General features: G+C 41.6%; 1 long non-coding RNA gene across 1 annotated transcript in view, besides 1 other annotated feature; it reads left to right on the top strand.

Annotated features, from left to right (window-relative positions):
• LINC02107 (long intergenic non-protein coding RNA 2107) overlaps window positions 1-15245 on the top strand; it is a 158236-nt gene that overhangs the window by 107486 nt on the left and 35505 nt on the right. The window lies entirely within an intron of this gene.
• Window positions 14885-15179: a silencer, noted in NCBI's record as "tiled region #2046; K562 Repressive non-DNase unmatched - State 24:Quies". NCBI's record gives its function as "represses a minimal TATA promoter and a strong SV40 promoter by Sharpr-MPRA in K562 cells {active_cell/tissue: K562}" and the evidence as "EXISTENCE:reporter gene assay evidence [ECO:0000049][PMID:27701403]".

The raw sequence follows: 15245 nt of genomic DNA on the forward strand, positions 1-15245 counted from the left end.
GCCTTGCAGCTTTTGCAGTGAGAACTCACAGTTTCCTTGACTGGTCTGGCAAAGGCTAAAGAGAGAAACCTCCAGCAAGTTGGCAGAGCTCAAAGAGTTACCTGCACAGCACTGCCTTGTCGGAGGAAGAAGTAGGGGCCTCATAACCTTTAGGCTTTGTATTTGAGGGTAGAGGCGTCCCTGAAGCCAGGAGGTGAAGCTCCAAAGAGCCCCACTCTTGGCAGATGCCCTGTTGTTACCATGTTAAAAGTCTTAATAATTTTTTTTTTTTTTTTGAGACGGAGTTTTGCTCTTGTTGCCTAGGCTGGGGTACAATGCTGCAATCTCAGCCCACTGCAACCTGCAACTCCTGGGTTCAAGTGATTCTCCTGCCTCAGCCTCCTGAGTAGCTGGGATTACAGGCGTGTGCCACCATACGTGGCTAGTTTTCTTGTAGTTTTAGTAGAGACAGGGTTTCACCATGTTGTCCAGGCTGGTCTAGAACTCCTGACTTCAGGTGATCCACCTGCCTTGGCCAAAGTGCTGGGATTACAGGTGTAAGCCACCACGCCTGGCCAAAAGTTTTAATAATTTTTGAACAAGGAGACTTGCATTTTCATTTTTCACTGGGATCTGCAAATTATGTAGCTGGTATTGTCTGACACTCTGACCTCTCAAAGCAGAGTCAAAGAAAAACATGAAGAATAAAACAGCACTGCTTTGAATGTCTGGTCTTCAGGAACACCACCCAAGTTGAGTTAACCTGGAAAATTTTCTTTCCTCCATAGAATTTCACACCATTTCTCTTTATTAAAAACACAACGCAAACAATCTCAACAGTGCTGGAGGCTGGCACTGACATTCACTCAGCTCAGTGATGTCGTTTCTCTAGAGTGTGGCTCTGCAGGGGGACTTCTTGGCCAAGTACCCTTCTCATGGGGCCAGCTGTGGAATGCGTGCATCCCTTCTTTCAAAGATGCAGACATTTCCGAGCTGCTCTGGTGTTGGCAGTCCCTGGGAAAGGCTGTCCTATTCGCCAAGCTCTTGGCCCGAGAACATGTACCCTAAGATAATGTTTTTTGTTTTTCTAACTCAACTCCAAAAAGTACAATCAATAAAATGTACCTGCCTTGTTGGGTTGGTGCACTTCTAAAAAGGAAGAAGAAGAAGAAGAAAGAAGAAGAAGAAGAAGAAGAAGAAGAAGAAGAAGAAGAAGAAGAAGAAGAAGAAGAAGAAGAAGAAGAAGAAGAAGAAGAAGAAGAAGAAGAACAAGAAGAAGAAGAAGAAGAAGAGGAGGAGGAGGAAGAGGAGGAAGAGGAGGAAGAGGAGGAAGAAGAGGAGGAGGAGGAAGAGGAAGAGGAGTCTGCATTTCATTCTGAATGCCTTTTAAGGAAACCAAAAATTTGAAACAGGAGACAAACAGGATCATTACTGACTTTTCAAGCGTTTGAAAGAAAGAGGCAGAAAATCATTAGTAAAGTCTCCTCCATGTCTGCTGATATTTTTGGTTTGCAAAATGTTGAAAACTGTATTTTCAATGGAAAACATAAATATTTTAATAAATCGATCGTATATAAATATTTCATTTATGGAATACAATGAAAGCCTGCAGTGTGCTACACATTGCACGCGTTGCCTCCTGATGCTGGGGTGCGACTCTGTTTTAGCCATTCCCGAGGCCCTTGGGGTCCGCGTGGGCCTCCCGTGGCTGCCCTCTGCCTGCATTCCTTGCTGAGCTGCCGGCTTGTCATCTCCGCGTGGGTTAACCGAGCTCCGGCACGCTGGCCTCATCGCAGCCTGCCCTGATTAATCTTGGTCTCACTCGACCCTGTCCCAGAAATGGCTTCTCTTATTACAAAGTATCATCCTACCTCAGCTGTTGAAACCCGGTCATTTCGCACCTGCTTCGATGAATTCTGAGCGACTTGTGTTTTTGATGAGCTGCTCACTTCATAAATTCACCCCTCTCCAGTTATCAGCACTTGGTCACCGCCTGAGTATGTCCTCGCTCAGCCTTCTCAGCAGCACCAGGAAGAGGCCTCTTTGAAAGCCTCTGCTTGCATTAAGATTCCCAACTAATGACTTTAAGTCTGTCTGAAAACTTGAAATACCTAACTGACAGAGGATAAAACTTAGATCCACAACTTGACTCGACAGATACCAGTCTTTCCGTCATTGTCCCACATACCAGCAAGCGATCTGGAGCAGATAAAACGTAGAATTGAACATTTTCCTCAAATTAAAGTAAAAATATGGCTTACCTTCTCACCCTTGCATAGGCATTTGTTTGTTTGTTTTTTTCTTTCATGAAATCACTGCCTACGTTTTCTTTTCCCTCTACGGATTTTTCAACACCACTAATTGCTGGAAATACCAAAATAACAGGAGCTCCAGGGCACTTCTGGCATTTTAGGGCCAGCTCAGACCAGGAAATACTTCGAGTTTGGTTAGGGAACCTGATCGCTCAAGGTTTCCAGCCCAGATAGTTTTGGTATCCGAACCCTCACCAGCATTGCTGAGACAATGCAGCCTTCCTCCCTTTGTCTCTTGCTGAAAAATGATCCTCTCAGGTCTGATTCAAAGGGATCGGTATCAACTCTTCTCTCTAGAGGAGCTTTGGCAATCTATGTGGTTTGTGGTATCTGATTACTGGTGTGTGTTTATAGGTGGGCGTCTGAGTGTGTGTGTTCATTATGTACTGAGAGTGTTCAAGATCTTGCAAATAATAAACTCACTAGATTTACACCCACAACCCCAGTGGAGCGTTCAAAAGGCAGGCAGTCACCCAAGCCGGCTCTTCTGTGATTCACAACCCCAGCGATCAACAGTTTGAGAACTCCTTTCCTACCCCTCAGGTGTCTTTTCCAGCTCCTTCCAGAGAAAACTGGAAAGGCTCAGACTCACACCTTGGGTAGAAAATGCCAAGCCTGGGAAAAACTCAGTCCTGAGTGTCTGTCTTCCCAAGCAAGCCCCTGACAGGGACCAGCCCCAGAAGCACCTCCAGGCTTAATCTCCCCACCCTGGCTATACTCTTAGCCCTCACTCTGCGGCCTCGCCTCCCCGCCGATGGAAGGAGGTGCACACTGATTAGGTGTCATAGTCATCACTGGGATCTGCTTCCTTTGTTTCAATCCAGGCTTCCAACTCTTGACTCTGTCCATTTAGGATCCTTTGAGGACTTGCCTTTATGAGCTAAAGTGCGGTCCATCTGTGGGATTTTAGCTCAGAGTTGCCTCACTGTCTCCTCTTCCCTCTGGGGACTCAGAACCCACCCTCGGCTGCAGCTGCTGGGATGGGATTTTGATCACTTAGGTGGGATTCAGAGAAAGGAATTTGCTCCTTCTTCAACATGAGAAATAACCATCCTCCTATTGCTGCTGCCACCACTGTTGGCTCTGGGCTTTGGAGACTTTGCCCTCCTGGAAACAGCTGCCCAGCTGGCTTCTTCCCCCAACTGTGGCCCTTCCCAGAGTTCCCTCTCCAGGAGGAGCCACCTAATACCGTCCCTTGGGGTTCACCAAGTCAGAGGTGGTCAGCACCGCAGTACCTGCCTTTGCCTCCATGGCCCCAGAGGAGCTAAGCTGGGGGGACAGCACTCATGGTTCTTCCCAACCCTGCCGGGTAGAATCAGCCAGCATCTCGGTCTTCCCCTTGGCTTCTCCACCCAAGTCCCAGTGTCACATGGTGGATCTTTCATTTTCATTCACCCAAAGAGCCACAGTTCAAGTCCTCTTGTAGGGGCTCAGCTCAATATAATGAGCACAACAGGTTCACACCTTAAACTAGGCCTGGTGTGTATACCCTGACCCATTTCAAATAAGTTCAGGGTTCTTGCCTCTAGGAGAGTAGGAGAACTGCTGCCTATTCTCTACAAAATTGTTGTTTCTTCCTTGCTAGGCTGTTTCCCTAATTGGCCTCCCTTACTGCCGTAGCTGGGATATGCATGTAAGCAACCTCTGGGGCATATATCCCTGAGCTCTCCCACTCTTTTCTTCAGAAAAGGCTCAGACACATACTTCAGGCTTGACAGCAGAGATTCTCATGTGTCGCAGCACAGCACACTCACCTTGTCCCTCATTATACATGCATATTCCTTTATTCCATTCCTAGACGTTCCAATATGGTGGCTTTGACGTGGGCAGGGTGTCTCGATAATTAGCAAGCCACTCCCTCACCCAGGTGATTCTGATGCAGGTGGCTCATAGACATCATTTTGAGAAATGAGGCTTTACAGTCTTTGGATTACATCCTGGTTAAAAATAAATAATTACCAGGTAGTATTATTATCAAAATGATAAGTAGTTATGACATCCTGAGTTCCTGTGTTAATTGCCACTTTGGAGAAGTCTGAAATTCTTTTGGCTGAACTGCTATTATCTCTGCACTTGGATCTATGAATCCTGGGACTCTAGAGAGGAGACCAAACAGGTAGTAAGTGGTTAAAACCTGGCTACATGGATGAAATGAAATATTATCACATCATGCAAAAATGACAGACTATTTTTTCAAGGTATGTTTGGGGTTATCTGCCTGGAGTGTACAAAACAGGCATTTAAAATCTCCCGAAGAGAGGACATCAAAGAGATGAATGGTCATCTTCCAGATCTACTGAAACTGTGATGAAGAAGCAACTGGTCAAGACCTGCCATTTGTATTAACATCTCATGGGCGATACAGACAGTGACAAGTGTTTTTGAGGAGGTGGAGAAATTGGAGCCTTCATATATCACTGATGGGAATGTAAAACAGTGTGGGTGGCATGGAAAACAGCCTGGCAGGTCCTTAAAATGATAATCGCAGATTTACCACATAACCCAGAAATTCTACTCCGAGATGTCTACCCAAGATAGATGAAAAGGTATGTCCACACAAAGCCTTGTATGTGAATATTCATAGCAGCATTATTCATACTAGCCCTAAAGTCAAAACAACCCAAATGACCGCCAAGTGATGGATGGACAAACAAGATGTGATATACTGTACCATGGAATATTATTTGGCAATAAAAAGGAATGAAGTACTGATCTATGCTACAAGATGGAGAAACCTTGAAAACATTACGCTAATTTTAAAAGCCAATCACAAAAGACCTTCTGTTCTATGGTTCTATTTCTATGAAATGTCCAGAATAAGCAAATCTATAGAGACAGAAAGTAGATTAGTAGTTGCTTAGGGCTGTGATTGGTGGGGATGGAGAGTGATTATTAATGGTACATTTCTTTGGGGGGTGATGAAAATGTTCTAATAATAGATGATGGTGATGGCTGTGTAACTCTGAACATACTAAAAAAACATTTAATTTTATATTATACTTTAAATGGGTGAATTTTATAATGTATAAAATTACTTTAAATGAAATAAAGTAAAGCTACTTTTTTAAAAAGACACCATAGGTAGAAAAGAAATAGTCATCTCAATTGTAAGCCCAAAGTAAAAAAATCACAAGGGCAGATCCTTTAAATTGCAAGTGTCGATTTGAGGTAGAGCCGCTCCTGGGGGCAGCTCTAAAACCTTGGTGCAAGGTTTTTATTTAATGATGGTTAAAGATCCTGCCAAGCAATGCCAAGTTCACAGCTGGTCTAGGAGAGTGAGTTATCTGGTGACAGGTTTCCTGTACTGAGAGGCTCAATGTCTCTGAGTGCTTGGACCTCAGCGTCCCTGAGGGTAAGCACCCTCTGTAGCTTAAGCATACACTTTAGGGCAAAGTTTCAACAGTTCCATGCCGAGCTTAGAGACTTTCGCCTCTGACATGTTAGCTAAATCTGGCACAGGCAACAAGCCATGATCCAAAGAGGATCTTTGTGAAAACTACATTTCTTGTATAAAAACCTTTTCATTTTGAAAAATTGCTCCTTGTCCACCTGCATTTGTAACTTTATTTGGGTCAGTTGGCTGGAAAATGGATGGAATTTTTCAACATGATCATTTTACAGCTTGAAAGATAAACTTTTTTTTTTGTTCTGCTTCAAATATTCCACTTGTTGCTAAGACTCTGCCAATGAAAGTTGAGCTTCACCTTTAGAATTATTTACACTGTCTTCTATAATTCACTCTGGGTATTGTCATAACCTTAGACATGGAACCTCTAATTCAGCAACTTCATACTCGAGTTGTAACAACCTATTTTTGTTCCATCTCATGATGTTTCCCTACTCCTTTTCGAAGAACCTGAAAGAAGAGTCTAACTTCTTAGCCTCAGCCTTATTGCCAGACTGTGACTTTTGCTGACAACATTTTATTTTAATTTGATTGATTAAAAATGAAATATTATTGCTGAATGGGATGTTAGGGAGCTCATGGTTTGATACCTTCATCCTACAGATCAGGGCAAGGCTTCTTTGGAAGGTTGTGACCAAGTCACAGAGTTATTTATTTCAGATCTTGGTTTGCTCGTCTTTAAAATGGGATAGATAACATTTTCCCCTTAGTATTGCTTCATTCATAAAATTGTTATAAGGATAAAATAAGATAATCTTTGTGGGTGTGTTTTGAAAAAACTGTCTAGGGAAATAGTATTTTTAACAAACACATGCAAAGTCAATTTTATTCTGAGAAGGTTATTATCTCCTCTCAGAAAAACTGAAATCCTAAGTGAAGTCACATCTTTAGAGTGGACACATATTGACCTAGTCTGAAAAATACTGTCTGATGAGAATAGAAGAGTTAAATCATTTTTTTCATGTCCAGGAGGGAAGCTATATTTAATACACTGTGTCCACATATCTTTTAAATATTCATCACTTTGTAATTTTTAAATTAGATTAGTGTGTAAGGATTGGAGTATTGAGGGTAAAAGTTTGATTTTACCTTCAAAGTAAAGGTAAAATGATTTCCTAAATAGGAAGAAGAAGGCTTCAAGTGAAATTATGTTGCTACATCACCAATATGAGAGTTTCTTAAATCAGCCACAGGAAAGGTGTTGAGAGAAGGAGCAAGCTGATTTCAAAGAATGATACTGGAAAACTGGAAATAGATGTAGATTGCTGACGAACAGGGGAAGGTGGGAAGATTTAGATGTGCTTGGTTTTGACTTGAATTGAGACAATGTTTCTAGGATTCTGTGACATTATGGCAGCAATGACAGATTTCCAAGGCAAGGCAATCATCTAAATTGTGTCAAAGGCACCCATAACTATGTGGGGTGATGTGTCTTAGGAGCGAAATCAGGCTGAAGAACTTTAGAAATACACAAAGGGACTTCCAGATAGAAAGCACATGCAATTAAATTGAATGCAGCTAAGACCGATACATCCTTAAAAAGAAAAAGCCAGATAGATACTCCTGTCATGCTCATTGATGCTAGTTTGCCTTAGAGGACCAAGCAGGACTCAGAATGAACTGCAACTTTGCTTCCAACTAGGAGAGATAAATGCATTTGCACTGATAGATTTTCTGCAAAGTTGAGTGAGGTTTAGGACTAGACTGTTCTCTTTATATTAAAGCTCACAACTAAAAATGTTTTCTCTTCAGTTTAAGTGAAGAAAAAACTTGGAGGTGCCTACACACCCCATCCTCTGAGAATGCCTCCTCTCCTCATCCTTAGGGTGGGCTTCTGTGCCATCTTTATGGTGTAACTTCTCCCTCACAGTCAAAGCTGGTTGGACCTCTGGTGGACATCCAGCCCAGGCTGAACCAATCAAATCTTTTTGACTCAGAATGCAGAATCAGGAATCTAAGATATTGGCCAGATCTTGCTGAAGTTTTGAGCCAGACTGTAATGCACAATTGGGCCTTTGGTAGTCATATGCTTGGAGGAGCAGAGAGGCGTAATCAGGAAAGAAAAAATAGGATACAGATGTGCAGGCGAAAGCAGAAGCAAGAAGCTGTGAGCTCCTAGAGAGATGGGGAAACTGACGGGTTCTGACAGCTTTACAGTTTCTAGTCTAATTCTTTGTGAGGCGCAGTTAAACTTCCTGGCCTGAGATTCACACATTTGCTTAAGCTAGTTGTGGTGGGTATTTATTATCTTCAGCTTAACAAGCCTCAATGAAAATCTCACAGACATTGTAAAAGGGAAAATAATGGATTGTTCTTTTTTTGTTAAAATATCCTTCTTGGTAGGATAATTTTTCTTAAGTATTTTATTTTAGGAAACCTTAACTATGACACGTTTTTTTAAATGCCATTTGGATATCACTCACATTATTACACACAAATGCCACTCTAGCCAGGAAGGATACAAATTCTAGCATTGTAGCTGCTCACTAAATAGCTGTTAAATGAATGTTTCTTAGATAGATATTTACTAACTATTCCAGTACTGAGCTAAGTCACATATTAATCCTATGTTCCCAGAATTAATGATTAGTGTCCTTGGAAGATTGTTGTGCCTTTCATCAAAACACAAATGAAACATTTTTAATGGATTTGCTAGAACACGTGGCCTACATATGCCATATAGTTATATTTGTATTATTTCCATATAAGAGAGATTTATTGCCTCATAATAGCAATTAGGAGAGGAAAAGTGGTGTTGGGTCTTTGAAGACAGTTTATAGAAAGAAGCAGTGGTTGAATTTTCTACATGTGGTAAATTTAGTGGAAAATTTATTCATTTCCATTGCTGAGATGCCGTGTAGATGGCTAAATGTAAGGTTAAAATTCTTTTCCTCCATTTTAGAATTAGACCTGGAATCAAATCTTGCTCAGTGTCTGGGGAGATGAATTTAATACCTCTCTAAATTGCATGACATCATTTTCAGAAGTACCTTGAAACTGTTTGTGAACATGCTGATAAGAATGACCTCAACTGCCCAGGAGGAGGGAAGAAGTTGATCTCTATTGGAGACCTTCACATTAAGGAGTGATTCTACCTGAGGTTGATTTATAGGGGCCCTAAAGGACACTGGTGGGTTTCATTGCCCTCAGCTGACCATCCAGGCTGAGTAGTCCAGCTGGTTGATGGGATAAATGGTGGTCTTGGTTGTTCCCACATTAGCTACGCATAGCCTTTTGGCCTAGAAACTTTCTGAAAGTTAATTTGGCAAGAGATATTTCCTGAAATAGCCCATTGCAGTGGCCCATTTTGAGCCCCAAATTGATGTTGAAATAACTTATATGATTTTATAAGGATAGGTACTTTATATTATCTAAAGCCATAGGACATCTGAAGGTTTTCCTTATGCCTGGATTTATGTAAGAAATTGTTGGCTGAGTGCAGTGGCTCATGCCTGTAATCCCAGTACTTTGGGAGGCCGAGGCAGGCAGATGCCTGAGCTCGGGAATTCGAAACCAGCCTGGGCAACATGGCGAAACTCTGTCTCTATTAAAAATACAAAAAATTAGCCAGTCGTGGTGGTGGGCGCCTGTAGTCCCAGCTACTTGGGATGCTGAAGCAGGAGAATCACTTGAACTCAGGAGGCAGAGGTTGCAGTGAGCCGAGATCGCACCACTACACTCCAGCCTGGGTGACAGAGCAAGACTCCAAATCAAAAAAAAAAAGAAAAAAAGAAAAAGAAAAAAGAAATTGTTGTGTGATTTTCATGAGCAATGTTATTCCTGTTAAATAAAATTCAATGTAAGTAACATTCAAAATAAGAAGAGTGTAATGGGTTACTTTAAAGACTTGAAGGAAAATCACAGACAAAGGTAGTTCATTTTGCTTTTTTTCTAAGATGCAGAGTCGAATTTTCATTTGGTCCAGCAAATTGCCAGAGAAATAAGTCTGTATTTTGTCACTAGTCATGGCCGCAGAGATGTTTATGAAAAGCACGGACAATCTTCCTGAGCTGTATCAGGAAATGTGTTCAGCTACAAGTAACAAAAGCCCCAAACAGTGGATTACGCGAATTAGGGTTTTTATTTTTCTCACCTTTCCAAAAGTCCAGAGATCAATGGCTAATGGTTTTGCCTCAGTGGCTTACAGATACCAAGGCCAAGGTACCTGGGAAAATCTGGGAAGAGCAAAGAGGGAAATGATGCAGGCCTGCTAGGTCTGCCCTTCTGTAAGGCCCACCCACAAAACTTCTGCTCACATTTTGTGGGTCCGAACTCTGTCTGCAGAAGGTGCTGGCTTTTAGCGGGACACATTACACCTCCCAACAATGTTAAAGTCTGTGAGAAAGAGGGGCAGGTGACCAGCTGGTCTGCCCCAATATCATGGCAAACTAAAGACAAGGACAGTGTCCTCAACACCTCTGGAAATGAACATCTTGCTACGGATGGATCCATCTGAATATATCTCAAACCTGCTTAAATCTATTTATATTTTTAGCCAGTCTACATTTTTGAGGGAACAGTCAACAATGTTAGAAACAAACAAACAAACTCAAAAGTGTTTATTTTCAAGTTAGCCTTTCCCATAGAAGATAAAGAAGAGCTCAGTGGGCAGACAGTTGCTAAACATCACTGTTTGGGTGTTCCCCACTCTCTCCTAAAGAGCAACGTGGGAATTGCTAATACTTGGAGACTCCCTCCTTTCCCTACTCATCATTCCTCCATACGCATACATGTATTCAGGCCAGTCACGTAGACCAAGCTTCCATCAAGCCCCACTGTGCACCAGTGTACTGTGTGTGAGTGTGTATATATCTACATTATATATGTTATTTTCTCTATATTATGTTTTTTGCATCTTAAAAACCCTTTCTGCCTGGGGAGAGACTGCCTCTCTCTGGGCTAGCCAATTCTTAGAGACAGCAAAGGGCTCCGAGGGGAATATGTCCTTGATATGCAAGCTAAGCAATCTAGAGTCATCCTCCTCTATTTGGCCCAGCCACCCCAGGAGGCAATATAGCCTTGCTAAAGTTAAGCTCAGATATGGAATTATCTGTGTTGCAGTGGAAATGGTTAAGTTGCAACATAAATCGTTGGCTCATCTGAACTCTTGGGTGAGTTGGCTGTACTTTGGGAATGAGATGAAGTGTTTTTTTTTTTTTTAAACCAAGCCTTCACTGCTTCCACATGGAAGGCACCATATGGGTAGAAGGTGCCCAGTGCAAAGGATGAGCATTCTGGCTGATGAGTAGTTCTTCCAGAACAATATGGGGCTCCTGCCTTGTCCTGGGTGAGGCATATGACTTGTGCTACTTCTCCAGCAGCCGTGAAGAACTTCCATTCCAATATTCATATTCACATTGCAAATCTATTTGAGTTCTGCTGTGAGTCTGGGCACCATAAAAACAGGGAAGAGCAATCTGTGGTAGCAGCACCACTAGGGACAGCCTCCAGCTGTTTGTGGCATATAGGAACATTCGAGAGGGAGGACACACTCAATAAATCTTAGTAATGAGTTGAAAGTTGCCCACCTCCTTCCAAAAGTCTTTGAGTTGCATCTGCTCTACATTTCTACCTCCTTCCTCTTTCTCTATTTCCTTTCTGCCTAGAGCCTTCCATTATCCTGAGCTTTGCTATAAAATCATCAAAGGTTCATAGTTACCTAAACCTACTCTAGGCTGGGCCGATGTTCCTCTGATGTACTGTACTGTGTTCTCTGAATTGTAAAATATGTTCATGATTAACCCAAAACTAGACTGAAAGTACCTACGATTGGGGGAAAAATAAAAGGTCATTTCTTAAAAGGGTAGCTGGAGGCTGGATGGGAGAATGCTGTGACAAGGGGCTATGGGGAGGAAAACTCTCCCAAGGTGCGAAGAGCCCCTGAGGCAGGGGTCGAGAGATGGGAGGGACAGCTGGGCACGCCCTCAGTCAGAAATGCCCAAGGCGGTGTCTGAGCACTGTGCTTCCTGACGTCCCTACATGTCCCCCTAGATCCTGAGGACTAGAAGCTGCTATATATGCTGCCGGCCTCAGAAAAGAGATGCCAGGTATTGCCATTGCTATTGAAGTGCTTATGATTATGTTAGAAGTTGACTTTTGGGCTGAGACCTCTGGAGTTGTGTGTGGTAGGCATGATGGAAAGAAGGGGATGCAATCCTATCATTTCTCATAAGATCAAGAAAAGCATCTGTGTAACAGAAAGATAACGTGAGCCACATGGCTCATCTTCATTCTTCTAGTAGCCCTATTAAGAACCTAAAAAGATATGGGTGAAATAAATTTTAATAATGTAGTTATTTAACCCTATATAGCCAAAATATTATTTTAACATGTAATCAATATAAAATGTTAAGGAGATACTTTGTAAATGTTTTGGGTACAAAATCTTCAAAATCTGCTGTGTATGTTGTACTCACAGCACACTGTAATTTAGACCAGCTACATTTCAAGTGTTCAGTAGCCACACGTGGCTGGTGGCTCCTGTATTGATCAGAAGCACTCTAGGAAGATCCATTGCTTCAACATATCACGGCTGCTTTCATCCATCTTCACCCTGCCTCTCTCTCTCTGACCATTCTGTAACCTCTCCCTTCCTTCCTTCTTTCTACTTGCCCCCATTTTCCCTAACTCCTTTCCCAGTACTCCCCACTCTTTCTTTGCTCCTTTTCTTTCTTATGTCAGTGACTTTTTCACTGGATAGTAGAGCCAGAAAGAAAGGAACAAAAAGAGCTTACTTTTGTGCTAGAATAGAAGAGATACAGGAGCAAACAGTATGTAGTTCTAGCCCAAACCATACCAAATCAAGTTCCAGGAAGAAATAACATTGCTAAGTAAATTTTGTTTGGAAAGGAGGTCATTAAATTAATTTAATTCATAATAAAATAAGAAACACTAACTATTCTCTATGATTTAATGACTCTATGCACACGTGTATCAAATTTTCCAACAGTAGCCATACCAGATTTCTTTCAGTGGCATAGAATCTATTTAATTGCTTGATCTTTGTAAACTAGCATCCAAGCTCATGCAGAATGTGTGGGAAGCATTCTCAGATGCTACACTTCTCTTTGCCACCGAAAGCCTCACCGACTCATATCCCTGTTTCTCAGAAACAGGAATAAGGAGATACAGTCACACACTGCATAATGATGCTTTGCCCAGTGATGGTCCACATGTAGGACGGTGGTCTCATATGAAAAAACCAGTAGGGAACAGTGGCATGTGCCTGTAATCCCAGCTACTCAGGAGACTAACATGGGAGGATCACTTGAGCTCAGAAGTTTGAGGCTACAATGAGCCACAACTGTGCCACTGCACTCCAGCCTGGGTGACAGAGCAAAACTCTGTCTCAAAAAGAAAAAAAAAAAGAAAAAGAAAGTCTAGCACAACTATTATGCATTGTACATGTACATAATACTTAAAAATGATAATAAACAACGTTACTGACTTATACATAATTTTCATCACTATTTTAGAGTACTCCTTTTACTTATTTAAAAAAAAAACTGTAAAACAGCCTCAGGAAGGTCCTTTAGGAGGTATTCCAGAAGAAGGCATTGTTATCGTAGGAGACAACAGCTTCACGCGTGTAACTGCCTCTGAAGACCTTCCAGTGGGACAAGATGTGGAAGTGGAAGACAGTGATATTGATGATCCTGACCCTGTGTAGGCCTAGGCTAATGTTTGCATTTGTGTCTTAGTTTTTAACAAAAAAGTTTAAAAAGTAAAAAAGAATTTAATAGAAAAAAGCTTATAGAGTAAAGATATAAAGAAAGAAAATATTTTTGTACAGCTGTACAATGTATTCGTGTTTTAAGCTAAACGTTATTACAAAAGAGTCAAAAAGTTAAAAAAATTAAAAAGTTTATAAAGTAAAAAAGTTTCAGTAAGCTAAGGGTAATTTATTATTGAAGAAAGAAAAAAATTTTAAATAAATTTAGTGTAGCCTAAGTGTCCAGTGTTTATAAAGTCTACGGTTGTGTACAGTAATGTCCTAGGCCTTCACATTCACTCACCACTCACTCACTCACTCACCCAGAACATCTTCCAGGCCTGCAAGCTCCAATCACGGTAAGTGCCCTATACAAGGGTACCCGTTTTAATGTTTTATACTGTATTTTTACTGTATCTTTTCTATGTTTAGATTCAAAAATGCTTACCATTGTGTTATAATTGCCTACAATATTGAGTACAGTAACATGCTGTACAGGTTTGTAGGGTAGGAGCAATAGGCTATACCTTATATCCTAGGTGTATAGTAGGCTATACCATCTAGGTTTGTGTAAGTACACTATGATGTTCACACAAGGACAAAGTCGCCAAATGATGCATTTCAGAAGGAATGTATCCCTACCATTAAGTGACGTATGACAATAGTTTCTTTTCCCCTCTTCCCTCCTCTTTGATGTTGAAGAATGGCTTGGCAGAGCCTGGAGGTCAGTCACATAATGAAATGGTTGACTCCTAACTCTAAGATGTGGATTTCTTTGGTACAGAGAGCTGTTCTTCAAAGTCTTAAATATACAAGAATCCCAGCTTGGGCTCCCAGAGATATTAGGTGTTTTTCTCACCTCCTTATTTCCCTCTTGTTCAATAGTATTCACTATTCCATTGTGAAGTCTCCCCCAGGTCATTTTTGGTTGATTCTGGGCATCTTTCTTGATCATCCCAGCTCTTCCCACTGGTTGGGATACACTAGGAGCTTTTCCAAAATTTGATCTTGGGCTCTGCTATACCGGCATGCTGCCTCAAACAGACAGTCCCTTGACTTACCATAAGTCAATTCCATTGTCCAGCTTCTTAAATAGAAATCATTTGGTCGTTTTAATATTTTGACTGCTCATTCCTGCATTTATATATAATTATGCTTAGACTGCCTTTTTCTACCATGTGCAAATTCAACATGAAAACACTTCTCTCTTTAGCTTTAGCCTCACTGGCTATGCTGAGCCAAAGCTTTTGTTTTCTGTCTAGCTTATCCACCACCCACTTCATTTGACCTTATAAACATGTTTAAATAGATTTCTCGGATAATGACCATTCTAGCTGGCAACTTCCCGTTTAGATATTATAGCAGGCACAGTGCAAATTAGAGGGCAGAGCAAAAGCACTAAGAATCATGAGACCCTGGATAAATATAGTAGACCCGCTCAGCCTCATAGGACAAGGCTGGGTTCTTACCCCAGTTTACCCACTGACTCAGGGGGTGACTCTGGGGAAGTCCGAGTAAAACAATCATTGGTTTCATCTACTGGTGACTCAGTCATGTTGATCTCGATAAATGGGGGCAAAAGAAGGAGTCCGCTGTCACGGAGACACCTCATTTCCATCCTGGATATTTCACTGTTCCCTGGGTTGGCCTCTGAGTTCACTGGGAGGAAAACAAAGATGCCCTTTGTGCACTATTGAAGGCAGGCTGGGGCAACTGGCCGTATCAGCAATGAGAGGAATCTTTTAAAGGTTAGCAGATGGGCAAATAGGAAGAGCTGTTCAACCTGATATTAAAAGGTTGCGTTTCAAAGGTGGCTTTGTTCAATTCGGTGTTATCT

The sequence above is a fragment of the Homo sapiens genome, chromosome 5, assembly GCF_000001405.40.
Source record: "Homo sapiens chromosome 5, GRCh38.p14 Primary Assembly".
Taxonomy (NCBI): domain Eukaryota; kingdom Metazoa; phylum Chordata; class Mammalia; order Primates; family Hominidae; genus Homo; species Homo sapiens.